The sequence below is a fragment of the Homo sapiens genome, chromosome 4 (genome assembly GCF_000001405.40).
Source record: "Homo sapiens chromosome 4, GRCh38.p14 Primary Assembly".
Classification (NCBI taxonomy): domain Eukaryota; kingdom Metazoa; phylum Chordata; class Mammalia; order Primates; family Hominidae; genus Homo; species Homo sapiens.
In genome coordinates, this window is record NC_000004.12 from 153,179,669 (window position 1) to 153,207,420 (window position 27,752).

Below are 27,752 nucleotides of genomic sequence, written 5' to 3' on the forward strand. Positions count from 1 at the left end.
TTTCACGTGGCTGAATGTGAAAGCAAATGGAAGCTGCACTCTCAAGGGGGGAGGTGTATTGACACCTGAGAGTTTTTAAAGGGGTGTTTAGAAAATCAGCACCTTATTTGTGGCAAGGCTAGACTGCAGTCACTGTGTGTGTGACACTTGGGCCGTCGTGGCCCTACTGAGGCTCACAACGGGAGCCTCTATTTAGATATCCAGCCACTGTGTTGAAGATGCCCCTCCAGACGGAGGACAATCTTTAATGGTGAGATTTTTATTGCTAAATCTATACGGTTAATTGGCCAAGCATTGGAGGCCTGGAGTTTTCGTCTAAACCATGTCAAGTTATCAGAATTCAGTACTCAAGTGAGTTTTATGTGAGCTGGTGAGAAGATGAGGACAGATATTTTCACCTTCCATATGCAACCCGCAGTGAATGAAATGTATTTGCTTTCTCTTGGGAGAGTCAAGTGATAACACTGCAGCCTGGCCTCTGATGCTAACTAAACGGGCAGAATGATTTGCCTTCAAGAAATCAACAGCCCCATTAACTCTACTCATTTTGGGTACATTTTTCATTATTTTGCTGTGTAGTAATGTCAGGCTCTCTTTTGTGATGCTCATGGCACATTTCACATGCTGTCTCATTAATTTTTACAATACTCCTAGGTGTTAGTATTTTTGCCAGGAAAAACAAGGTTCTCGACAGCCTGGGGTCATGCAGCTAATTGGGACCTGCCAGAGACAGAGCCTTGAACCCCCTGGTCCTGAGGCTTAGCTGTCAGGGCACACAGCCTGTGAAAGGCACGTTTTCCCAGTTGCCATCTTACCTACAAATATTTTTGTTTGTTTATTTGTTTGTTTTTTGAGACAGAGTCTTGCTGCGCAATCTTGGCTCACTGCAAACTCCACCTCCCGGGTTCAAGTGATTCTCCTGCCTCAGCCTCCCAAGTAGCTGGGATCACAGGCGTGTGCCACCACGCTCAGCTAATTTTTGTATTTTGGGTAGAGAGGGTGTTTCGCCATGTTGGCCAGGTTGGTCTCCTACTCCTGAGCTCAAGTGATCTGCCCGCCTCAGCCTCCCGAAGTGCTGGGATTACAGGCCTGAGCCACAGCACCTGGCCACCTAGAAATATTTTTAAGAGTCCCTTGGGAAAAGTACTAACACTCCTCTGCCAACTCCTGTGGGCATCCCACAGAGCACTCCATCCACCCATCCATTCATACTATAAATATCTATTAAGTGCCTGCTTGTGCCAGGCATTGTCCTGAGTGCTGGGGAAGCCCCTGCCCTCAAAGAGATTGCCTATACACTTGTCCCAAGTGTCACAAAGAGCCCCAGCAGGGGTTGGTGAGCCCACCTTGCATATAGAAAAGTGAGAAGGGCTGAGGAGTGGGACCTCAGGGTGGGTGTTTGTAATTCCAATAATAATGATAAAAAGAGAGAACTCTCACAGGATGAGCTGGCATGATTCTAAGTACGAACTTATGTATTCTCCTAACACCTCTTTGATGTGGATACCATTATTGAATCCATCTTTTCAGATGATGAAATTGAGGCCCATAGCAGCTCCATGACTTGTCCAGGTCTCACAGAACAGGTGGGATTCAGTGCAGGCATTTAGCATTTAACTGTGCTCTCCTGCTCTCTAGAAAGCCTTTCAAAGGCAGGCAGGAAACGAAGACAGTTCTGGAGGCCCTGTGGGCCCTGGTCACAGTTTCAGGAGAGGGGAATGGTTCCAATAAACAAGGCAGCGACCATGTGATGGCCAGGTTCTGTGTCAGGCTGAGTCACCATTTGAGCAGAATGAAGGCTCACTTGCCCTCCTTGCCCCAGGGGACAGGCCAGGGAGACACACAGAGACCTTCTAGGCCATGAGAGGCTCATGACCACACATGCTGCCACCTCCCAGGCTGAAGACAGCTCTGGCGTTCAACCTTCCCTCATGCGCCAGGGATGAGATGTATGTATGGGGCATAGGGCTAGACACGCTCAGAGCACAGGAGGTGGGATGTGGCAGCGATGAGTCCCCAGGGCCCTTCTTGTCTCGTGTGGACTCATCCCAGCAGCCTTGTACACCTGGGCTGGAGGTGGGCAGGTGAAAGGCATCCCCTCTACTCAGGATCGTTGGGTGCCCGTTCCCTGCCTTGCCCCTTTCTTGGCCCAGCTCATGTCTCCCCAGATGACTCAGGAGGGGGCTGTGTGCCAGGGCGGGTGCCTCACAGGAGTCAGAAGACAGAGGTTCCTACCCTGAGGGCCTGGCAATGGAACACTTTGCTTTTAGAAATGGGTGTGTTCTAGAAAAAGACGTGACTGGGTCCTAATGAACAGCTTTACTCCACCCTCAACTCTGATGCTTTCTTCATATTTTAAGGGAACAAGATGCATGAGGCTCCCCACCCATCTCAGTCTACCGAGTGCCCAAGCAGCCCATTTTACAGATGAGGAAACTGAGGCCCTCAGAGAGATAAGATGTGGTAGAGGGGAGGTGAGGAAGAAGCTCTTTGCTTCAGAATCAGAACCAGAAATGAAGCCAGAAGGGGTAAGAGCGCCAAGGAGGGGCACCTCCTAAGGCTGTAGCCAGATACCATTGGATCTGCAGATGCTAGGTATTTTTGTTATTGTAGTGCCTGGAAATGGCAAGTGAAGAGACTGGGGTCCAACCAGGCTCCTTGATGTAATTGCCCACAAATGGGACCTTGGGAAAAAGAGTCCTGAGAGGTGTGTGGTGTCTCAGCTGAACACCACCGTAGAGTCCACCTGCACAGCTCACGCCCACTGACCCCACTTCTCAGCTCTGTGACCTTGGGCAACATGTTGCCCGTGACTCGGTTTCCTCATTTGTAAATAGTACACACCCCATGGGATTGTTATTAGGGCTAAGTGAGCTGATTCATATAAATAAAAGCTGTGAGCACAGTGCCTGCCCTGCAGCAGGAACCACTCAGTATTCAAACCATAAACAAGAGTTCATTTCAGTATTTAGGGTGCACACAAATATGGAATGGCTCATTTTATGATCTTATGGATTTCTCCTAAAATCTGTTAGGTGTTTCAGAATAACCTAATACTTGGGTTAAATTATTTAAAATGTTACTTAGATTCTCCCAGCCCCGTCATTCCCCTTTTTGTTCCTTAGTCTCTAAAAGTGCTTCCCTACCTGGGGGCTATTGCACTTGTTCCTTTCCCCTGTCTAAGATGCTCTACCCACCTTCTCAAATGCCTTTTCCCTGGGACCCTCTATCCCAATACCCCAGTTATTCCTTCAGAGCCACTGTCCCAGGCCGTGACCTTATTTGTTTATTGTCTAATTTCCCCCGGGTGCTTGTTCACTGCTGTATCACCTAGCATAGCACTTGGAACATACTAAAGATTTGATGAATGAAAGAATGAATAAATGAATGAATGAATGAGTGGCTGAATAGGAAGTGTGGGCTGGTGTGTTTAGCCTCAAAGCCTGTGATCCACTGACTGACCCTGCCATAGTCCACTTCCTCCAAGGCCTCTCATGTCTTGCCAGTGCAGAGCTGCCTCTCTCCTCTGAACACACAGCTGTCGTGGTCTGCACCAGCACTGGGCAGTGATGCATGGGCTGCTTCTCCTCCTTGTACCTGCTTTGATGATTTGACAGTTGCATTATTTCACATTCCCCATGATAAAGCCCAGTGCCCAGCTGAATGATAAATGTTCCTTGAAGGCATGTATTGTGAAGTAGAAGAAAAAGTCCTCTGCTGAGGGGCGGAGAACAGCTGCTTTAAGAGAGTGACAAGGGTTGGAGCAGCGATGTGGAGCATGTCTGAGGCTCCAGCTCTGAGCACAGGTGTGGGAACCTGAGCGACACCCAAGGAGTGGGGCATGATTGCCCAGAGGGCCATAGACAAAGGAGGAAGGGTGCTATGGGACCAGGTTCTGGAGCACAGCTGAACCTGAGAAGCAAGCAGATAATATCCCCAGGCATGGTTGTGCAGGGATGAGCAGAGGCTGAAACTCATATGAGAGGACGGGCTGGGTTCAAGACATCAGATCAGTGTATCTGAGTTTGTACCAGTGTGTAAGAAGTTTGGCCAAAGGAGGAGGCCTGGAGTGCAGGGGCTTTGCTAAGGGTTAGAAAGAGCCCAGGGGACCCACTGAAGGAAAAGCTAGACCACACTGAACAGAGATTAGGATCCCTTGTAGGTGTAAGGGAGACAATCTCCTTGCAGACCTGTGTTCCAGTTCTAGCTCCTCTACTTAGTCAGTCTTAAACTGGGTAAGTGTCTTAACTTTTCTGAGCTTTGGCTTCCTCCTCTGGGAAATTAAGGTAATATTGCCTACCTCATAGGGATTAAATGGGAGGACAAAGGTGAAGCATGTAGCACTACCCAAGAATGTAATGTCTGCAGCAGTGGAAGGCTAAGCTGCATGGGGATGAGCTTCCTGAAGGGCATGGGTGAACCAAGGGTCTTTACCTTGGGCAGGGATTCTAGCTCATGGGGGAGACAGGGTGTCTTAGTCTGCTCGGGCTGCCATAGCAAAATACCATGGACTGGGTGTCTTCAACAACAGAAATTTATTTTCTCACAGTTTTGGAGGCTGGAAGTCGAAGGTCAGGGTGTCAGTGTGGTTGGTTCCTGATGAGGGCTCATTTCCTGGCTTGCAGACAGCTGTCTTCTGACTATGTGCTTACATGGCCTTTCCTTGATGTGCACACGTGGAGAGAGAGAGAACACATGCTCTGATGGCTCTTCTTATAAGGACACTAATTCTGTCAAACCAGGGTCCAGCCTTATGACCTCGTTTAACTTAATTACTTCCTTAGAGGCCTCATATCCAAATACAGCCACATTGGGGGCTAGGGTTTCAATGGATGCATTTAGAGTTGACACAAACATTCGGTTCATAACAAGTAGGGTAAAGGGTAGCTTAAGTGACAAGAAGTCCTCTGAGCACTCTGAACAGAGCCCCAGTCCAGTCTCCCCAGTGTGGCCTGGCTTTTCATACCAGATATGAGAATGGTTGAATTCAGTTTTGCTCACCTGGAATTGTCCTTAAAGTGATATTCCACTGTGCATATTGGAAAACTCAGTCTTCAGAGTTCATTGGGAAATCACCATCAATACTGCTGCTTTTATCCTGTCTTTGGGAAGTGGAGTAGGGTCTCTCAGATACGAGAAACCTCATCAGAAGGAAAGCACATGTTCTGCTGCCACCTTCATGCCTGGTGACACATTTCCATCTGGAGCAGCCACAGACCATACCACTGAGACCATACCACTGCACTCCAGCCTGGGTGACAGAGTGAGACTCTGTCTCAAAACAACAACAACGTTTTCCCTGTGGGGAATGCCATTTCTTCTTTTTAGAGTCAAATTGTGTCCTATTCCATTTCCAGATACCGTTTTCTAGGACAAGTTCCCCAGACAGGAATCTCGACATTCTTTCAGCAGCATCGTTCCACAGTGATTTGCCCTTTGTATTCTTTTTAACGCATTCTTCCTGTGTATGTATTGAATGAATTCCAAAACAAATGAGTGAGTGAATGAATGAATGAATGAGTTGTTTTCATTGTGATTGTGGTTCCCCAAGAGCAGAGTTTATTCTTTCTTTCCACACACACAAAGAAACCCTACTGGCCAGTAGATCGCCCAATAAGTGTTAGCTTCTTACATGACAGGCTCCCCGTCAGAGAGCTATTCACTCAGTTCATAAATTTGGAAATCTCAGGAATATTTTGATTTTCACTGCATTGGCCTTTTTACACCATGTTTACTCAGTTTCAACCTTACTTCAATAAAGCAGAGGCTTGATCATACTCTGCACAGCCTACTGCATGTCTCGGTGTGATGAGTGGATCTTGAGCCACAGCAGGGACTGCCAATCTGTCATTTTCTGAGGAATACTCCTTTTTTATTGGCTCTGATATTTTCATGTGTGATCTCAGCAGCTGTGCCTTTGTGTTTGAAAAGAGCCAGGTCTCACTGAGGAGCTGTGTAGCCAGTAGCATTTATTGAGTTTCTGCTTTGTCCCTCCACGTAAGCAGTAGGAACCCTGGGATAAATTGTGCCCATCAGGGAGGAGATGCCTCTATCTCTGGGGAGCTTAGGAAGGAGCTGGGGAGACAGGACATACACAAGAGAGGTTCCATGAGGAGCACTGAGAAACCAGAAGATGGTTTCATGATTCCTGGGGGCCAGTTAACCTGCCAGGGCTTCTCTCTCCCTGAGGAGGAGTTTGATAAGAAAGACTGGGTTCAATTAGCAGCTGATTAGGAGACATGAACAGAGTAAAGTGCACTTTCCAGACAACTATTGCTGACTGCTCCTGTGGGCAGGGGGCTGAGGAAATTGCTAGACCAGGGGTGATTTTGCCCCCAAGGGAAAATTTGGCAATGTCTAGAGACATTGTTGGTTCTCACAACTAAGGTGGGGGAAATGCTACTGGTATCGAGTGGGTAGAGGCCAGGGAGGCTGGTACACATCCTGCAATGCACAGCACAGACCCCCACCACAAAGAATCATCTGTCCCACAACATCAGCAGTGCCCAGGCTGAAAAACCTCATGGCAGCCTGAGTGAGCGTCGGGGCGTGGTCTGAGTGCTGGGAACTGGGTCACTTTTCCTCCTTGGGTCTCAGTTTACTTATCTGTGACGTAATGATCTCTTAGGTTACATTCAGCCCTAACATTCTGTGATTTGGTGAAGCTAACTTTAACTAGAGATTAAAGGTGGGATGTGAATGTCTTTAGAATATCGTGCTTTAAAAAAATCAGAAGAAATATGGAGGGCATTTAAGAGACTTTCTAGGAAATAGCGCTTAACCTCAGGTAAATACTTAAAACTTTGAACCATTTCACCCTCTTAAGGAGCTGTACAAGGAGCTGAAAGGGCCTCGTTCTAGTGCTTTGTCTCTAAGGAAGGAATTTTTGTTGGCGCTCAAGGGACAGCCCAGAGCAGAATCTTCTCCTCGAGTTACACAGGACTAAGATGCCAGCCAAGGGCACCTGAGGGCCCCTTTTCAAGTCTTGTCCCCACTGCCAAGTCCCCGAAAGGGGAAGCCTTTCCCACGCCTGCACCATTATTCCACCTCCTCTGGCTGAATTTGAGCCACACCCTCACCTGATACCTGTCTCTGTTCATATCAAAAAAAGCCTGCTCCTCTAGACCTTAAGAAATGACCAGAGGGAGAATATGAGAAAAAAAACAAGCTCTACCTGTGTGGGGAAGCCAGCCTAAAGGGAGAACAGATTGTCAGAATTGCCATGCTATTACATGTACTGGGACTTTCCAGAAAAAGCAATTGCTTCCAATAGAATCCCCTTGCCACAAAATAGTAAAGGCTGTTTAATGAACTATTTTAAAAATCCAATGTTAAAAATTCAAATCATCCTTGTAAAGCATGCTGTTTATGAAGAGAAAATTCCACAGGAAGATAACCCTGATGAAGGATCTATCACCAGGTCGTACGTATGATAATTTTAAATTTCAGAATGTTTGGCAATGTTTTCATGGAAGTGTCAGGAATTTCGTTACAGTCACAAATCATGTATGTGTAATTAGAATGCTAAAACAGCACATTTTTTCTATCAATGTAAACTGGGGCCCCAAAGGATGAAAAAAAATTTGTAGATGCCCATTACTCTCATATTACAAAGCAAGGTAAGTCCACCGTCAAGGACTTACTAAGGGGCCAGCCGGTAGCTGTTTTGCAACCCTAAGCCCATTTACCGACGTGGAGGATTACTCTGGATCTTTGGAAAGGTTGTCAATGTGTCAGCTTCTCTGACCCACCAGGGCCATGGCAGAGGGAAGAGGTGCTTCCTTCTCACCAAGTGACAAGGGAGAGATCAAGAGGAATACTGAGAGAGCTTGATGCTCATCCGCAGGTTAGAGGAGTGCAGGAATGGATAAGAGCAGAGAGAGAGGAAGAAGGCTGCGTTGAGAGCCACTGCTGTACCCCAGCTGTTGGGGCAAGAATGCAGTTTTTCAGTAGGCCAACCAGACCTCTCCTGAGGGTCCAGTGAGGAGCCTGTCACAGAGCCTCGCCCAGGTGGGCTGCATGGAGGAGTGACTGGGCCCTGACAAAGGGGAAGTCTGTGTGAGGTAGACCCCTGGATGATCCGGCACTGAGGTTCAGTGACAGGCAGAAAAATGGCGGCCGCATCATAGGTGTTTCAATGGGGGATTCACAGCAGAGCCATCTCCAAGGCCCCACACAAGCTTTCCTGGAGACAAATGCCAGCTTCAGACGTCCGCCAAGTCCTGAGTGCACAACGTCCTATTATATCTGGTCCTATTATATAACCCAAAGACTATGACTATTTTTTCCTAAGTCCCCTTCATAGGCCAACTCTGGGAGGACCTCACAGGCTACAGGAGGAGGAAGTAGAATCTAGAAGAAAGAGAAAGAAGCAGCCAAGCTTTCCCATATCTGCCCTTCAGGTTCCTAGGACGAAAGCACAGAAGCTCTAAATCATAAGAAGCTGGAGTTGTTATTCTAACACTGGAAGGAACATTTTTAAAGTGTACAGAATACTTGTAAGAGCGAGGGCCAGGCGCGGTGGCTCACGCCTGTAATCCTAACACCTTGGGAGTCTTCAGTGGGTGGATTGCTTGAACCCTGGAGTTTGAGACCAGCCTGGGCAACATGGTGAAACGCCTTCTCTACAAAAAATACAGAAGTTAGTGGGGCATGGTGGCGCACACCTGTAGTCCCAGCTACTCAGGAGGCTGAGGTGGGAGGATCATCTGAGCTCGAGAGGTAGAGGCTGCAGTGAGCTGAGACCATACCACTGCACTTTAGCCTAGGTAACAAAGTGAGACTCTGTCTCAAAACAACAAAAACCCCATAAAAAAACAAAAGCAAAAAACTGATGGCTCCTCAGTCAGTCTATTAGCCTTGTTCTTCCCTGGGGTTCCCTGAGGGATATAAACCCATGCCCCAAGGCACCCATTTCTGAATTCACTCCTCTCTTTTGCAGTTAGAATGGTTCTCTGAGCATCCTTGGAAGGGATGAGGGGCTGGCACAGTGGCTCATGCCTATAATCCCAGTGCTTTGGGAGGCTGAGGTGAGAGGATCACTTGAGGCCAGGAGTTTGAGACCGGCCTTTCCCTGAAAACAAAAAAAAAAAAAGGAAGGATGAGGAAACAGTCATCCAAATCATTTTCTGTCCTGTCCTGTGTTCACATAAAGAATCTTGTTTTACATTAAAACATTTTACCTTCAGAAGAAGTTTAATTTTATTTCTCAAACTGTACATTTTATACCCAGAAAATCCAAAGTCTTTCATAACCTGGCCCCTGCTTACCACTCCCCATACTCCCTTCATTTGTGGATAATCATTTACATCTCCATGGCTTTGCACAGGCCATTTCTTTCTTTAAAAAAAAAAACAATTAATTTTATCAAATAGAGATGGGGCTGTTGTCCAGACTGTTCTCGAACTCCTGGGCTCAAGCAACTCTCCCACCTCAGCCTCCCAAAATGCTATAATCACAGGCATGAGTCACCGCACCGGCCTGGAGAGGCCGTTTCTAACTAGAATGCTGTTGGCTTCTTGTACTTCAGTAAAGAATAAAATGAAGACTGAGAGACCAATGATTGAGAGATGAGGGGAAAAGTTTCACTGCCAAGCAGGAAATCTAATCCAAAACAGAGTCTAGTTTCCCTGGTGGATGAGATTCAAGGGAGAGGAAATGGGGTAGGTCTTTAAAAGCCAAAACGTATTGAACTGTCTCTATCCTATTTTAGGAGAGCAAAGTCTTGGCATGTTCTAATTGGTGACTGATATCTGGGCTTGTTGATTAGGAAACCACAGAGCTGGCTGAAGGTGACCTGCTGTGGTCGCATCTGGATCACGGTGTGTACTTGTCTGTGATGTGGCTGTGAGGCACTAGAATGGGGATTATGGTGTCTGGGAAATTCTCCTGCCTAATATCCCCTGTCCACTATTCCACCCTACACGCCAGCTCGACTGAGGGAGGCCCCTTCCTCTGTGCTGCTGTAACTCTCAGGCTCATGCCTCCCTGTGACGGCACTCACCCTGTGTCTTGTTTAATCATTGATTAATCCTTGTGTGTCCAGCACCCAGAACAATGTCTGGAACACTGTAGCCACCTGCGGTTTATTTAATGAATCAGTAACAATAGCATATGCAAATTGAAGATTTATCATTTCTATTGTTTCCTCTAAAGTATACACAACAGACATTTCTTTAGAAGTGACATTTCAAGATTCAAAAGAATGTAGTTTTGAATTGAAGTGGGGTGTAGAGAATGATGGTATGAGGCAATATGAATATCTTGGTAGGGGTTCAACTTATCCTAACTAGTGATTTAAATTAATATTTATGTAGATTTGATTTAAATCAAATCCATCTTGGAAGGGAGAAATGTTTATAACAGATGGGCATATAATAGAACCCTGTAATAAAATCTAAGTTTAAAGCTCAGCAAATTCCTTTCGGCTTGCAGATGGAGTTGGGAAAAACAGTTGACATTGGTGAGTTACAGTTAGTTTCTCAGGAAAGCTAGTGATTCAAGAATGAAGGGTGTTTTTCTGCTAGAAAGGAAGTACTGTAGAGAAGATGAATTCTGTATCCAAAGACATGTAAGAGAAGATGTGGGAATGACAGCAGGAAAAAGAGGCTGTACCTTAAACAATAGCCAGATGGAAACAAACAGAATAGCAGATAGTGGTGGGTATGACTTGATTTTTAGTGCCATTCATTACAGTAAGTAACATTTACTGAGCACCTACATTGTGCCTGGCACTGTGCTAAGTGCATTTTATGATTTATCTCTGTATTCTTCACAGGACTTAGGGGAGGATGCTAATATTATCACCAGTTTACATATGAAGAAGTTGAGGCTTAAAGATTTTTTTTTAAAGCAGCCCAAAATCTCAAAGCATATAAGTTATGGGGCCCGACTCCAGAATCTACTGTTAACCATCTTTTCATGACAAGAAATAGAAACAAAACTCAAACTAACTCAGAAAAAAGATGGATGTCATTGGGAGGAATACTAGGGCATCTGACAAGACTCAGAGATGCATTTGGACATTAGGGACAGCTGCAACCAGGGTCTGGAATGCTATTCTTTTCTTTTTTTATTTTGTATTTTTTGAGATGGAGTCTCACTCTGTTGCCCAGGCTAGAATGCAGTGGCACGATTTCAGCTCACTGCAACCTCTGCCTCCTGGTTTCACGCAATTCTCCTGCCTCAGCACCCCGGGTAGCTGGGGTTACAAGTGGCCGCCATCATGCCCAGCCAATTTTTGTATTTTAGTAGAGACAGGGTTTTACCATGTTGGCCAGGCTGGTCTCGAACTCCTGACCCCAAGCGATCCACCACCTCAGCTTCCCAAAGTGCTGGGATTACAGGCGTGAGCCACCGCGCCCAGCCTGGAATGCTATTCTTTTTCTCTGTCTCTTATTTCTCCTTCTCTATGCCTTTTAGCTTTATTCTCTTCTTCTGAAGCTTAGCTTTTTTCACTTGGCAGGAATACAGATGATTAAAGCTGGTGACCTCCTATCTTATGGAGTCAAGCAGCAGGAAGGATTGGTTCTTTTCCCTTAGTTTTAGTTCAAAAAGTCCAATGATGGGCTTAGTTTGAGTTGGGGCCTCCCTTGTTTTCCCCAACCCCTCTTTTCCAGATCAGTCATCTATGGCTAAACAGTCTGAGAAAAATTATTGGCTTAGCTTGGATTAATCATGAGCAAGATCATATAGCACAAACACGGCCTTGGGGGCCATCCCTGTGTCCCGGACAATCCTGGAGAAAGAGATAACACTTTAAATTGAACATCCATCCCCGAGTGGATGCTTAAAAATGCAATAATGAGGAACACAGGTTACTTTAAACGTAAAATATTTAAGTGAGAAATGCATAGCTGTATAACTGAGTTGTATGGGGATTCCCCAGAAATCAGACAGTCTGTGCTTTCAGAAAATGTACCCAGATTTTTTGTTCTTAGGCACAATTCTGGAGAGGCATTCTAAGCTATTGTTTGGTACTTCTTATTTATTTTTTAAACAGTAGATTTCCTTCATGATGATATAGTTCTGAAAATAAGTGAGCCTGATGACAAGGTTGAAAGGATTTTTGTTTTCATAAGCTTCTTCATTTCAGTAATTTCAGAGACTGGGAGTCACACAGTCTGCAATGTTTAACAAGCCTTCCTATAGTATATAGAAGCTCCTTTTCATAAACATCCCTAAAGTCATCGTGCCGCAAGTTAAGCCTGTTTTCTTTGAGTTTGTTCTCAGAAGAAATGGGTATGAGCATAGAAGCTTCCCTTCATCAAACCACGTAGTTGCATCCTCAGTTCCTAGCATGTCCCCTCTGGGTTTATTGTCCAGTCAGCCCTTTTATTATCTCAGTTACTCTCTGTGAATCTCCTCTGCCATCTCCACGTACCCCTTTTTGTTGCCAAGCCCAGATCTAATTGGTCAGTCTTTTAGTGAAACCCCAGAGCAACAAAGACAATTCCTCACCCCACACCCTTCCCCAGGCATCCCGCACCACAGTGATTGTTTAAGCACAGGGCCACAGGCCAACTTGTTGCATTTGAATTCCACTATAACCAGCATTGTATCTGTATTCTAAAAAGTGTCAAGTCTCTACATTACAATCAAAGCATCAATCTCTAAACAGTGGGGGAGAAAATGTACCTCAAGGTTAAGAGAATCTAGGCTGGGAGTGGTGGCTCACACCTCTAATCCCAACACTTTGGGAGGCCAAGGCAGGTGGATCACTTGACCTCAGGAGTTTGAGACCAGCCTGGGAAACATGGCAAAACCCCATCTCTACAAAAAATACAAAAATTAGCTGGGCATAGTGGTGGGCGCCAGTAGTCCCAGTTACTCAGGAGACTGAGGTGGGAGGACCACCTGAGCCTGGAAGGTCAAGTTTACGGTGAGCCATGATCATGCCATTGCATCCCAGCCAGAGTGACAGAGACCCTATCTCAAAAAAAAAAAAAAAAAAAGAAAGTTAAAAGAGTCTAACAGCAAGTAGAACAAATGGAATTAATGATGACAGTTCGATATATTGTGCCCATCACAGTCAGCAGATCCAAAACAGCCACTAAGCACTAGATCCAGGAGTCCCCGGGCCTTTGCACCCACTGTTCCAAACACTACCAAGGATGCTGTTTTCCCAGACAGCCCATGGCACACTTGATGGGCCCATCCAGATCTTCTCACAGAAAGTGTTTCTCAGTGAGGCTTTCCTTGACCATCCTATTTAAAACTGTGACTTTCTGGTTCAGACCAGCCCACCCAAGTCCACCATCAGTTGTTCCCAATCCTCTTTTAAAGCTGTTTTATTTTTCCTGGCAGCACTTACTGGACATGGTCTATAGTTTTAGTTGTCTATCTGTAATTGTCTGTCTACCCTAGTAGAATGTAACTTCTGTATGTTTTGTTCACTGCTTTATTCCTCATCTCTTAGGAGCATGCCTGCCTACCACAGAGGGACCCTTAGTGAATAATCTTTTTTTTTTTTTTTTTTTTTTGAGGCAGAGTCTCACTCTGTCGCCCAGGCTGGAATGAAGTGTCGCGATCTCAGCTCCCTGCAAGCTCTGCCTCCCAGGTTCATGACATTCTCCTGCCTCAGCCTCCTGAGTAGCTGGGACTACAGGTGCCTGCCACCACGCCAGGCTAATTTTTTGTATTTTTAGTAGAGACAGGGTTTCACTGTGTTAGTTAGGATGGTCTCGATCTCCTGACCTCGTGATCCGCCCGCCTTGTCCTCCCAAAGTGCTGGGATTACAGGCATGAGCCACCGCGCCTGGCCCATGAATAATCTTTAAGTGAAGAAATCTATGAATGCAAGTAGAATTCTTTGTGGTGAGGAAGAGCACTTGAACATTTTTATTTATTTATTTTATGGAGAATGTATATAATGCTTGCTATATGCTAAACACTGTTCTAAATGATTGACAACTATATCTCATTTAATCCTCACAACAATCATGTGGGGTAGGACTATTATCTTCCCCATTTTGTGGATAAGGAAACATAGGCGCAGTCATGAATCACAGTGGGCGTGTGGCCTATTCTGAGTCTGCTCTCAAACACTACCATGCTGCCTTTATTAATTAAATAACTGAAATATAGCAGAAACACAAAATTGGACAGATTTGGGCTGGGGCGAGCCACGGAGAGCTTTCTGGGCAAGGTGAATTGAGCACAGATGCTGCAGAGGAGGCAGTGAATCAAATCCAAGTGTGGGAGAGACGAACTGGGAGACTCAGAAGTGGCAAAAGAAATGGAGAGAAGGATGTGCAGGTGAGAACAGGGATGCGGGGCCCCCAGGATATACAGAGAGAAGCACAGGCACTAGGAGAGACTGACTGAGAAGCCTGGACAAACTGAATGAGGCGTCCACTGATGGCCCCCAGGGACCCTTCACTACGGCCTGGAATTCAGGAGCCAGCATCCAGCCAGTGGCTTACGCAAAACAAGGGTTGGGGAAGCAAGTGTGGGCATGAGCCTAAGTATATGTAATTTAAGAGTGAGATGGGGAAAGAGTGAAGAAGGAAAGAGAGAGGAAACACAGATTCTCAGAAATTTGCATTCATAATCTCTCATCTCTCCCCTAATCTTAGATTATCAAATATATTCATCGATTAAAACTTCTTTAAGAAGTGAGTGGATAAACCAATTGTGGTATGTGCATATAAAGAAACACTGCTTAGAAATAAAGAGAATGAACAACATTTTGGTTTCTTTCATTCCACTTAATCAAAATGAAATCATTTTCATTCCACTTAATCATTTTGGTTGATGCAACAACATGGATCAACCTCAAAATGATTAAGTGGAATGAAAGAAACCAAACAAAAAGTATAATCTGTATGATTCCCTTTACATAAAATTTTAGGCAATGCAAACCAATTGATAGTGACAGAAAACGGGTCAGTGGATGCTTGGGGATGGAGCTGGGGGATGCAGGAAGGACTGGAAGGGAGGGATTACAAAGGGGTCCAAGGAAGTTTTTGGGGTGATAAGTATATTCCTATCTTCATTGTGGTGATGGTTTCACAGGTGTTCACTAGTGTCAAAATGCATCCAAATTTACACTGTTTTCCCAAGGTTTTTAAGTTGGGAACTCTCATCTTCTCCTAAGATTTGATAAATAATTTCTTGTCTTCTAGGTTTTCTTCTTAAGTTGGAGATGAGGGGTGGTGGTTAAAAACTCCTGCTTAGCTTATTTTCCCTTTAGGGATTGATTACACTTATTTCTGTCTCCCTTGCCTGTGTGAGAAAACCTCTCCAGCCCTGGAGCAACTTCTTGGGGCTTCTAAGTGGATTGAATTCTGGTCCCCAGAAGATATGTCTACGTAGAACCACAAAATGTGACCTTATTTAGAATAAAGGTCTTTGCCAGACCTTATTTAGCATAAGAGTCTTTGCCATTGTAATTAAGGTAAGGATGTCAAGATAAAAATCATCCTGGATTAGGGTGGGCCTTAAATCCAATGGTGATTGTCCTCATGAGAGATAGAAAAGGACAGAGACACCATAGAGGGAAGGCCATGTGAAGACAGAGACAGAGACGGGAGTTCCTGCAAGCCAAGGAACACTAAGAATTGCTGGCAGCTAGGCACGGTGGCTGAGGCCTGTAATCCCAGCACTTTGGGAGGCTGAGGCAGGTGGATTACTTGAGCCCAGGAGAGCAGCCTGGGAAAACTGGCAAAACCCCATCTCTACAAAAAATACAAACATTAGCTGGGTGTGGTGGCATGTGCCTGTGGTGGTCCCAGCTACTCAGGAGGCTGATGTGGGAGGATCATCTGAGCATAGGAGGTTGAGGTTGCAGTGAGCTGAGATCGCACCACTACGCTCCAGCCTGGGAGAAAAAGTGAGACCCAGTCTCAAAAGAAAAAAAGAAAAAGAAAGAATTGCTGGCAGCCACCAAAGCTAGGAGAGAGGCGGATTCTCCTTCAGAGCCTCCAGCAGGAGCCCTACATTTGTGTTGTTTTAAGCTCATAGTAATATGTTATGGCAGCTCAGGAAATCAGGCCACTAGGTACTTTTGTTGCTACTGTCCTTAGTTCTACCACTGTATTTTGTTTCCGCTGTTTGTTCTTCATTCTCTGAACTAATCCTGTTAGAATTTTATTCTCTTAGTATTTCACCATTTCTACCTAGCTGAACATGTTCATTAACTTCTTTTTTTTATTATTTTTTGAGATGGATTCTTGCTTTGTCGCCCAGGCTGGAGTGCAGTGGGGCAATTTCAGCTCACTGCAACCTCCGCCTCCAAGATTCAAGCAATTCTGATGCCTGTCTCCCAAGTAGCAGGGATTACTGGCGTGCACCATTATGCCTGGCTAATTTTTGTGCTTTTAGTAAAGACGGGGGTTTGCCATGTAGGCCAGGCTAGTCTTGAACACCTGGCCTCAAGTGATACACCTGTCTCAGCCTCTTAAAATGCTGGGATTACAGGCGTGAGCCACTGTGCCTGGCCAGAAAAGGGAAACTTTGAGAAGTTAATGAACATTGGCCGGGCAGGGTGGCTCACACCTGTAATCCCAGCACGTCGGGAGGCTGAGCAGAAGGATGGCTTGAGCCCAGGAGTTTGAGACCAGCTTGGGCAACATGGCAAGACCCCATTCCTACCACCCCCCCCCACACACACACACACACAAACTGGGTGCAGTGGTGCATGCCTGTAGTTCCAGGTACTCAGGAAGTTGAGGCGGGAGGATTGCTTGAGCCCAGGAGGTCAAGGCTGCAGTGAGCTATGATCACACCACTGTACTCCAGCCTGTGGGACAGGGCAAGACCCTGTCTCTTAAAAAATCATAAAAATAAAAAAGTAAACAAAGTTTCCATTTCCTTGTCTGCAGAATGAGCGTGAGTTCCTATGCCTGGGGTTGGTTGTGAGGATTCAATGAATCCATACATGGAAATGCTTTAGAACAGTACCCAGCACGTAACAAATGCTGTATTCATGTCATTACCGTTATTACTAGGTACTGCTCACACTTTCCAAGGGGTGGCTCTCTGGTAGCTTCTTCAAAATTAATGGTACATTTTCTTCCATCAGGGTTATTGATGAAATGTTGCATTAGTCTTGGATCTTGGGTGATGGTGTGAGAAAGTCTTTGCATGGGTCCTGGGATTAATTCTGAACTAGGTTTTCAGCAAATCCCCTTATGATCTCTCCCAACAAACGGAAAACCTCAGTGGTGTTAAAACTAGTCATGGTTTACCTCAATGGTTGGAGATGAGCAAAGGGCTCCCAGGCCATTGCTTGGTCCACCATCGAAGCCAATTTACTGTTCTTTGTTCCACAGCTTCAGCCTAACTTTAGGCATCCTTTTCCATGTGTGGGCCATTGGTCATATGCAGACCGAGCAAAAAAATGTAGGAGGCTTATAGAAAACCCATTGGCATGTTTGGAAAGACAGAAGTCCACACTGTGTTGATGTGTGGTTAGCAGCATCTTCTTCACTGTCTGACTACATATGAAACTGACTTTAGGCCTTGCCACCACTTTCTTTCTCAAAGAAATATGAAGAAATTATGTAGAATAATAAATATGGAGCTTCCAGGTAGTAAGTTTAATGGAATGAGTTTAGAACTTTTCACCTCCTTAATGGGTTGTGAGTTAACCTAAGAGTATTTTTTATCCATAATTTGCAATGCACTGAGGAACAGGTAAGCAAAACAAAATCAAAAGCTTCATCAAAGCCAAGAAAGATTGCAGCTTTCATTCCTTCTATTTGCAAAGCCCTTCAATGTCACTGAAGGCTAAGTGTCTAGCTCCCCTCTTTATCAAGCCATGCTGCCTGTGCATCTGCTATGGACTCGATGTTTGTGTCCTCCCTTAATCCATCACTGAAATCCCAGCCCCCAAGGTGATGGTCTTAGGAGGTGGGGCGTTTGGGAGGTGATTAGCTCATGAGTGCAGAATCCTCATGAATGGGATTAGTGCTCTTATAAAAGAGACCAAGTGGCTCATGCCTGTAACCCCAGCACTATGGGAGGCCGAGGCGGGTGGATTACCTGAGGTCAGGAGTTCGAGACCAGCCTGGCCAATATGGAGAAACCCCATCTCTCCTAAAAATACAAAAAGTTAGCCAGGTGTGGTGACGGGCGCCTGTAATCCCAGCTACTCAGGAGGCTGAGGCAGGAGAATTGCTTGAACCCAGAAGGCAGAGGTTCTAGTGAGCCAAGATTGCACCACTGTACTCCAGCCTGGGCAACAAGAGCGAAACTCCGTCTCAAAAAAAATTAATAAATAAATGAGAGACCCGAGAGCTCTTTTGCCCCTTCTACCTTGTGAGGGCGGCAAAAAGACAGCTGCCTCTTAATGAGAAAACAGGCCCTCACCAATGTGGAATCTGCCAGCACTTTAATCTTGGACTTCCAGCCTCCAGAACTGTAAGACATAAATTCCGGTTGCTTATAAGCCACCCAGCTTATGGCATTTTGTTATAACAGCCCAAATAGACTAAGACAATATTCTTTTTATTATTTTAAAAAAGAAATTAAAGGATTCTAAAACACATAATTTAAGCTTAGAGATTTGTGATTTCCAGAATCATCTGAGACTTAGGAGGTCTGAGCATTTGATATGGTTTGGCTGTGACCCCACCCAAATCTCAACTTGAATTGTATCTCCCAGAATTCCCGCATGTTGTGGGAGGGACCCACAGGGAGGTAATTGAATCATGGAGGTTGGTCTTTACTGTGCTATTCTCATGATAGTGAATAAGTCTCATGAGATCTCATGGGTTTATCAGGCGTTTCTGCTTTTGCTTCCCCCTCATTCTCTCTTGCTGCCACCATGTAAGATATGCCCTTCACCCTCCACCATGATTACGAGACCTCCCCAGCCATGTGGAACTGTAAGTCAAATTAAATTTCCTTTTCTTCCCAGTCTCGGGTATGTCTTTATCAGCAGCGTAAAAACGGACTAGTACACCATTCATCTATGTATTATCCAAAGGGCCTCTGTTGTGACTTCACCCAGTTCCATTCACCATATTTATATGGTCTCTTGACATGAGAATATAGTTTTATGTGTATATCATTTTTTTAAAAATCAGAAAGCAATTTAATGTTTTCCCCTGGTAAAGTGTTTTGTATGTTGGCAAATCAGGGACTTGATAATGAGTGCAGTACTGGATATTGAGCTAAGTCAGTTAATTGGGCTTTGGCTCTTTAGAAGGGTTTGGTGAAGCTCTGCTTATGGGTAATTGAGGCTTCAGGTTGCCAAGAGTTGGGTGACTAAGAGGTAGCTGTTTTGGATCAAGGGTAAAATTTTAATTAGATGATGAGCATTCTCAAAGGGCATGTAGCAATTTTCTGAACTGCATAATCTAATGGTTCGAAATTTAGAAAGTAGTGATGTCATCTCTCCATCTTTTCAAAGAACACACATCTGCCTCTGTAATCATTTTGTTTATTATTTTTAATAACAGCAATAGGCCAATGCTAAGTAATATGATGATCAGGAAAGAAATAGGCCCCGGGGATATGTGAAACAGCTTTGTCAGACAGTTTCAGCTCTACAGAATTGTGTTTTCTTGATGAAATTTCTGGCAAAGTCTTCTTTCCATGTTTTCAAAGTCTCCTCTTCCTCCTCGTTGTCAGTTCATTTCCTGTTTCAACCTTCCAAGGGGTTTACCTATGTTAAAATGAACTGAGTTCAAATATAGTCCTTCCCAGATAAAAACTTGTGACTTTCTCTTTTCTTGATTGATTTTAATGAAATATATGCTGAAAGAAGTAGGAAACTCACTGAGAATGTCAAACATAATCTGCAGGTCATTATATACCCAGAGTTTACAGAGGGTAGGAATGATATCTATTAGTACTATAACGAATCTGTTTGCTTGCAGAGTGGCTTTCTGACTTGCTGCCAGCCTGTGCCTATTCCACACTTACACTTTTTGACATTTAAAATGCTTCTTAATAAATCTTAGTCAGTTATTATTATTATTATTTTCATTTGCATTGGAAAACAGCATTCTTCCTTACCTTCCATAGAAAGGGTGCAAGCAGGTCTACTGGCACCCACCTGCCTCACAGTGCCTGGAGCTTAATAGATGCTGAGTGATGCACAAATATAATGGATGAATTCATTTAATAAATCCTCTTTTTATTTATTTATTGTTTATTTTTATCATATTTTTTAAGACACAGGGTCTTGCTCTGTTGCCCAGGCTGAAGTGTAGTGGTACCATCATAGGTCATTGAAGCCTAAAATTCCTGTTCTCAAGTGATCCTCCCGCCTCAGCCTCTGGAGTAGCTGGGACTACAGGCAGGCACCACCATGGCCAGCTAATTTTTTTTTTTTTTTTTTTGAGATGGAGTCTCACTCTGTCGCCCAGGCTGGAGTGCAGTGGTATGATCTTGGCTCACTGTAATCTCCGCCTCCTGGGTTCAAGCGATTCTCCTGCCTCAGCCTCCTGAGTAGCTGGGATTACAGGCACCGCCACCACGCCCACCTACTTTTTGAATTTTTAGTAAAGACAGGGTTTCTCCATGTTGGCCAGGTTGGTCTCGAACTCCTTACCTCAAGTGATCGGCCTCCCAAAGTGCTGGGATTACAGGCGTGAGCCACTGTGCTCAGCCGGCCAGCTAATTTTTAAAATTGTTTTAGAAAAGGGAGTCTCCCTGTGTTGCCCATAATCATACAATATGCAACCTTTTGTGTCTGGCTTCTTTCACTTAGCATAATGTTTTAGGGATTCATCTTTGTTGTAGAACTTCATTTCTTTTTATGGCTGAAAAATATTCCACTGTATATAACCACAATGTGTTTATCCATTCATCTTTTGATGGACATTTGGGCTGTTTCCATCCTTTAGCTATTGTGAATAGTGCTGCTATGAATATGGGATGTACACGTATTTGTTTGAGCCCCCGTTTTCAATTGTTTTGGGTATCTATCCAGAAGTAGAATTGCTTGCTCATATGGTAATTCTATGTTTAGCTTTTTGAAGAACTGTAGAGCTGTTTCCCACAGCAGCTGAACCATTTTACATTCCACCAGCAATGTACCAGGGTTCTTGTTTCTCCACATCCTCCTCAACACTTGTTTTCTTCCTTTTTAGTAAGAAAAAAAAATATATATATATATATATATATATATGGCTATCCTAGTAGGTGTAAAGTGGCACCTCATTGTGGTTTTTTTTCTTTTTTTTTTTCCTTATTATTGTTATTATTTTTTAATAGAGACCGGGTCTCACCATGTTCCCCAGGCTAATCTCTAACTCCTGGGCTCAAGTGATCCTCCTGCCTTAGCCTCCCAAATTCCTGGGATTACAGGTATGAGCCACCACGCCTGGTCTCATTTGGTTTTTTGGGTTTTTTTTCTTCTGAGACATAGTCTTGCTCCGTTGCCCAGGCTGGAGTGCAGTGGCATGATGTCAGCTCACTGCAACCTCCACCTCCTGGGTTCAAGCAATTCTCCTTCCTCAACCTACCGAGTAGCTGGGATTACAGGCATGCACCACCACGCCTGGCTAATTTTTGTATTTTTAGTAGAGACAGAATTTTGCCATGTTGGCCAGACTGGTCTCGAACTTTTGACCTCAGATGATCCACCCAACTCGGCCTCCCAAAGTGCTGGGATTACAGGCGTGAGCCACCGTGCCCAGCCTCATTGTGTTTTTGATTTGCACTTCCCTAATGACTAATGTTGAGCATCTTTTCATGTGTTTGTTGGACATTTATGTATTATTCTTAGAGAAATATCTATTTAAGACCTTTGCCCATCTTTAGGTTGGGTTGTTTGTCTTTTTATTGTTGAATTGCAGGAGTTTTAAAAATATATCCTGGATACTAGAACCTTATCAGATATATTATTTGCAAATATTTTCTCCCATTCTATAGGTTGTCTTTTCACTTTCTTGATAATGTCTTTTGAAGCACAAAAGGTTTTAATTTTGGTTATGTGCTGTGGTTTCTGAGCACTAGGGAGGCCCAAGCAGGAAGATAGCTTGAGGATGGGAGGTAAAAGCTGCAGTGAGCTATGAAGCTATGATCTGGCCACTGCACTCCAGCCTGGGTGACAGAGTAGGACTTTGTCTCTAAAGAAAGAAAAAAAGAAAGAAAAAATTTAAAATTTTAACGAAGTCCAATTTATCGATTTTTTTCTTTTGGCTGCTCATGGTGTCCTGAAGCTTTTTAAAATGACAGGATCCTAACACTTGTGAAGGCTATGTCACGGGCGTGTCCTCAACCTTGGAAAAATAAACTTTCTAGGTTAATTGAGAGCTGTCTCAGATTTTCTGGGTTCACACACCTTAGAAGAAAACTAGATTATTTCAGGAAGGTAACCTGTACCTTAAAGTCAAAATTGTGAAAGTATGGATGTAACAGCTCTTTTGAAATAATTAGAAGGATACAAGGGCCAGAAGGAGCCTCATACATCATTTAGAAAAGGTTCTGGAGGAATTTTACTTTAATACAAATTAAACACCAGTGGCAGAATCATAAACATTTTCAAACTAATATAGATTAGAAAGGATGGCATTTGGGGATTATTATTTTTATAATCAGAAGGGCTTGAGAAAAAGTTTGCGGAAAATAAATACGTTTCAACATTTTTCTCTGATAATTCATTTTGACAACTACTGTGTTCATTTTGATAACTACTATATCACTTTATAAATGATGAAACTATTTCAAATGTAATGACTGTACTTTTCACAGTTTGTATGCCTATAATTTATGCAATGCCACACAATCAACCAAACAACTCTTAACTTTATTTTTACTTCAGTGTATTATTTAGAAATGATATAAGGAGGCCAGCCGCGTTGGCTCGTGCCTGTAATCCCAGCACTTTGGGAGGCCAAGGCGGGCAGATCACGAGGTCAGGAGATCCAGCCATCCTGGCTGAAACCCAACTCTACTAAAAAATAAATAAATAAATAAATAAAATTAGCCGGGCATGGCGGCATGCGCCTGTAGTCCCAGCTACTCGGGAGTCTGAGGCAGGAGAATGGCCTGAACCCGAGAGGCGGAGCTTGCAGTGAGCCGAGATCACGCCACTGCACTCCAGCCTGGGTGACAGAGCGAGACTCTGTCTCAAAAAAAAAAAAAAAAAGAAATCATATAAGGAAAAAAAGCCCTACAGTTTACTTTCTGGTTCTTGGTTATTATCAAAGGGCATTGGAAGGTTAAGCTGCTGTAATAGCTTTAAAAGGGGAATTTAAGGCCGGGCGCGGTGGCTCACACCTGTAATCCCAGCACTTTGGGAGGCCGAGGTGGGCAGATCACGAGGTCAAGAGACTGAGACCAGCCTGGCCAACATGATGAAACCCTGTCTCTACTAAAAATACAAAAATTAGCTGGTCGTGGTGGTGCGCATCTGTAGTCCCAGCTACTCAGGAGCCTGAGGCACAAGAATCACTTGAACCTGGGAGGTGGAGGTTGCAGTGAGCCAAGATTGTGCCACTGCACTCAAGCCTGGTGACAGAGCGAGACTCCATCTCAAAAAAAAAAAAAAAAAAAAAAAAGTGGAATTTAGTTAAGTTTGGGAGACAGAAAGAAGCCACGGCTCTCCTGCCTTCTTCCAAATATACTGAACTTCTGATATGTTTGATCAAATGAAATGCTCATGGTCTGGCATGATTATAGGTGCAAGCCTGTAATCCCAGCTACTAGGGAGGCTGAGGCAGGAGGATGACCTGAGCCCAGGAGTTTGAGGCTACAGTGCACAATGATTGTGCCTGTGAATAGCCACTGCACTCCACCTTGGGTGATATAGTGAGACCCACATCTCTACACACACACACACACACACACACACACACACACACACGAAGAAGAACATAAACACATCAAATGTGAGCCATTTTGCTGACTTGGGCATACAATAAATCCATATCTCTGGGTTCTAAAGATGTACCAATCTTGCAGTGAGCTGAGATCACACTACTGCACTCCAGCCTGGTCAACACAGCAAGACTCTGTCTCAAAAAAAAAAAAAAAAATAGTAGACCAGGCGCAGTGGCACACTCCTGTAATCCCAGCACTTTGGGAGGCCAAGGCGGGCGGATCACTTGAAGCCAGGAGTTCAAGACCCACCTGGCCAACATGGCGAAACCCCGTCTCTACTAAAAATACAAAAATTCACCAGGTGTGGTGGTGCATTCCTGTAATTCCAGCTACTCAGGAGGCTGAGGCAGGAGAATCACTTGAACCCAGGAGGCTACGGTTGCAGTGAGCCAAGATTGTGCCACTGCACTCCGGCCTGGGCAACAGAGCGAGACTCCATCTCAATAAATAAATAAATAAATAAATAAATAAAATAAAGATGTGCCAATCAAACAAGTGTTTGCTCTGTAGATGAGGTGAGTGCTCCTGATCAGATAGTATATTCAATAAAATAAGCATGTCATCAAACTAACTTTCTTGGCCTTTGTTCTTTGGTTGAAAAACTCCCGTTGACCTCATGAATACCACATTTATTAACCCCGGAAGACAACAGATAGCTAATGCAACATAAATATCTGTGGCTTTAAAAATACATATTATTATGTGTGCAGTCTACAAACACTTTCCTGAAATTGGTCTTCTGTGGGCAGTGATTTAAACTTTTCAACTTGGACGCTTTTCCTACTGGGGGCTGTAAAGATGATAACTCAGCCCTTACTCTTCAGTGTTTCTCATTCCCGTCTCCCCTACTTCGGAATGAAACACAATATCTTAAGCAAACAGAGCCCAAAGAGGCTGATCATTGGCTCTCATTGTCCCCTGATACTGTAGCCCCGCCCCTTTGGCTTGTGCTGACTAGCTGTTTATATTTTAGTAAGGGCCACCCTTTAACTCGGCAGCTTGATGACTATAATGGGCCCAGTTGTCTGCGGGCTGCGGGGAGCTAAGTCCCCAGATTGGAGGAGGCTGGCTCTGGTCTTCGATGCACAGGAGTGGCCGTTATGGAACGCAGGTAAGGACGCTTCTCAATGTGGGATAATTCTTTTTCTGGGCCAGCTGGTTAATCCGGGGCTGGGAGAAACAAGTTGTGATTGGGTTGCTACTTTTTCCTGGTTTTAATTTTTTCCCTGCAGAAGAGGGAAGGAAAAGACTGGGATTTGCTGACAAAGCTCACAGTGAGCTCTGTTAATCCAGGCAGGAAGGGAGTAAGGAAGCAAAAAATCGAGGGAGAGACACAGCTGGATTTGACACCAAAGCAACATGAATGTGGCAAAGCATAAGGCCAGTTCCAGTGATGTTGTGAGACTCAAATGCTGTTTTATTTCCTAACATAGGTAGTCACAGTCAGGAGCTTAGCTGGGCCTCTCCGGGGTTTCTGTAAGCCAGCTGCTAGCCGATGTAACTCAGTCGACCCCATTTGAAAGGACCTAATATCTGCTAGTATTTTCAAAGGGCAAACTGTAGTAGTCTTGCATGTTATAAATAGGTCTATTCAGAAATGTGGGAACAGTTTAGAGCAGACAGGAGACTGTAAAGTTTTACTGCCCCATAAAAGTGCTCAAAGGGTACTATGTCCCTCTGCCGTGCGACTGTGGAATGAAGAAATAGCCCCAGGTGAATAGAGCGTTTGTCCTTGACTACCCAAGTGAGAAGTCAGCAGAGCCTGGGGACGCCATGTGAGTCGGGGGTGAAGCCTGATGTGGGCTCAGCCAGCCACACCTCGGGGTGCTTGCTGGTTTCCGGGGTGTGAATGGGTGAGGGTGGAAAACCACTCAGGCACCGGTCTTTGGTGCCTGCTTTATCTCTTGGCTGGCCCATTCGGTGCTCAGTGAGGCACCTGTCGTAGCTCACGGGGTGCGCAAAGGGCAAGGAAAGGGTTGTGCTGTCATTGCGACCTGTAAGGTGGGGAGGGGGCTACAACATCTCGAGTCCTGGGAGTTGCTTTAGAAAGTCCTCCTCCTCCTGCTGAAAAAAAGAATCACCTACGGCAGCTTTGATCAGATAAGTTTCTGGTGAGCCCCGTGGTGTGGAGTCAGTGAACTTGCGGTTTGTGTTTGTTATCGACAGGAGCCTGATAAAATGAAAAGGTGAGGTTTAATTTTTACATAAAGCTAGAGGTGAACCATGGGACTTTAATACATTTAATGCTTTGAAAGTCTCCCCACCTCTCCAAATTCCCTCAACTTGTATCTATTATCTAGGTACACCTTGTTTAAAGCCACCATGCTGTTTGCGGATCCTGGAGGTATTAAGTCAGAATACAAAGGGTGTTTTTCAAATGAATTTGACGCCAAGCAACATGAATGCTTGAACCCATTGTATGAAAACAGGCAGTCTCTAAGTGAGGCCAGGTTCTCCTGGTGCGGTCCTAGAGCCCTGGAGAGGGATGAGTCACCCCACGAGGAGGTCCTGACAAGGAATGGAAATTCTGACTCTGCCAGTGAACTTTTGACTCTCCCAGGTGGGGTGGAGGCTCCAAAGGGAAAGGACAGGTGTGCATCATTCACCCTCCAGGCCCACCGCAGGCCTCACAAATCCCATTTGGTCAGGTCAATGCATTCTCACCTTCCCACCTAAGTAGGTGTCCCACAGTTTAACTCAATTCTGACACTAACTGCAGTGAGTGCAGACCCTGAGGTTTAAGGGCTCAGTCCTACCAGGCTGCCCCGACCTCAGAGGCCAGTTGCAGGCTGAAGGTTGTCACTTGTGCTTCTGACTAGCTGGCTATCCATGAGAAGTTCTCACGATCCTTCCTCAGGTAGATTACAAGCTGTGTAACTTTGTCTAACTTTGTGCTGTAAGTCAGAGATTGACTTCTTGGGGTCACTGTTTTGTTAGCATAGCTCACGGAACTCAGGGAGACACTTAATTCCATTTACCAGTTTATTATAAAGGGTATTACAAAGGATACAGTTGAATGAATACATACAGCCAGGTGAAGAGATGGCTAGGGAGGGTCTTGGAGCTTTCATGTCCTCTCCGGGCGCCACTCTCCCAGCGTCTCCATGTGTTCAGCTATCCAGAAGCCCTCCAGACCCGCTCCTTTGGGTTTTTATGGAGGCCTCATTACAAAGGCATGATTGATCAAACCATTGGCCATCGGTGATTGAGTCAACCTCCTGCCCCTCTTTGCTCCCTGGAAACAGGGTCAGGGGGTGTGTATGGGTGGAGTAGGGAGAAAGGGGCTGAAAGTTCCAACTCTCTAATCACTTGCTTGGTTCCCCTGGCAACCAGCCCCCTCCAGAGGCAATCTGGGAGCCCTCAGTCGTCAATCATCTCATTAGCATACAAAAAGGCTCTTTATCACTTTGTACATTCCAAGGGGTTTTCTTTCTTTCTTTTTTAAATTTGAGACAGGGTCTTGCTCCGTCACCCAGGCTGGAGTGCAGTGGCATGATCATGGCTCACTGCAGCCTTGACCCCTTGGGCTCAAGCGATCCTCCAGATCCTCCCGCCTCAGCCTACCAAAGTGCTGGGATTACAGGTGCATGCCCCCATGCCCAGCCAATTGCAAGGATTTTAAGAACTATGTGCCAGGAAGCAGAGACAAGACCAAATATATATTTCTTATTATAAATCACAATATCACACCTTCCTCATGATTCACACTTCAGGTCACTTACTCACTGTGTAACTCTGTGCAAGTTCCCTAACCTCTCTGTGCCCCAGTTCCCTTATCTGTAAAATTCGCTAAATTCCAGGAAGGGCCAGCCACACTGGTAGGCCTATGCGGTGCGGTGGCCGATGGGGGACAGACGACACACAGAGGCAGAAGCCAAAGAACACGGGTTTAAAAACAAGGGGTTAAGAGCAAGAGCTTTGATTCAGACGAACCTGGAGTCCAGCCTCACTTTCGTTGTTTTACTTATATG

The 27,752-nt window shown here is 44.9% G+C and overlaps 1 protein-coding gene across 27 annotated transcripts in view, besides 1 other annotated feature; it reads left to right on the forward strand.

Annotated features, from left to right (window-relative positions):
- Positions 1-27,752, forward strand: part of TRIM2 (tripartite motif containing 2) — a 187,155-nt gene that overhangs the window by 27,506 nt on the left and 131,897 nt on the right. For 17 of the 27 annotated variants that reach the window (NM_001375512.1, NM_001375516.1, NM_001351057.2 and 14 more), the window contains exon 1: positions 24,775-24,892. The exons of the other annotated variants lie outside the window; for them this stretch is intronic. Coding sequence is in view for 12 of the 17 variants with exons in the window: in NM_001375488.1 (NP_001362417.1) it covers positions 24,863-24,892 (30 nt within the window). In the remaining 5 variants the exon portion in view is untranslated. Of the gene's footprint in view, positions 1-24,774; positions 24,893-27,752 lie in introns of those variants that run through there. 27 annotated transcript variants of the gene reach the window in all.
- Positions 26,326-27,231: an enhancer, noted in NCBI's record as "OCT4-NANOG-H3K27ac-H3K4me1 hESC enhancer chr4:154127146-154128051 (GRCh37/hg19 assembly coordinates)". NCBI's record gives its function as "activates a minimal SCP1, AML or CMV promoter by ChIP-STARR-seq in primed H9 embryonic stem cells {active_cell/tissue: H9 hESC(primed)}" and the evidence as "EXISTENCE:reporter gene assay evidence [ECO:0000049][PMID:30033119]".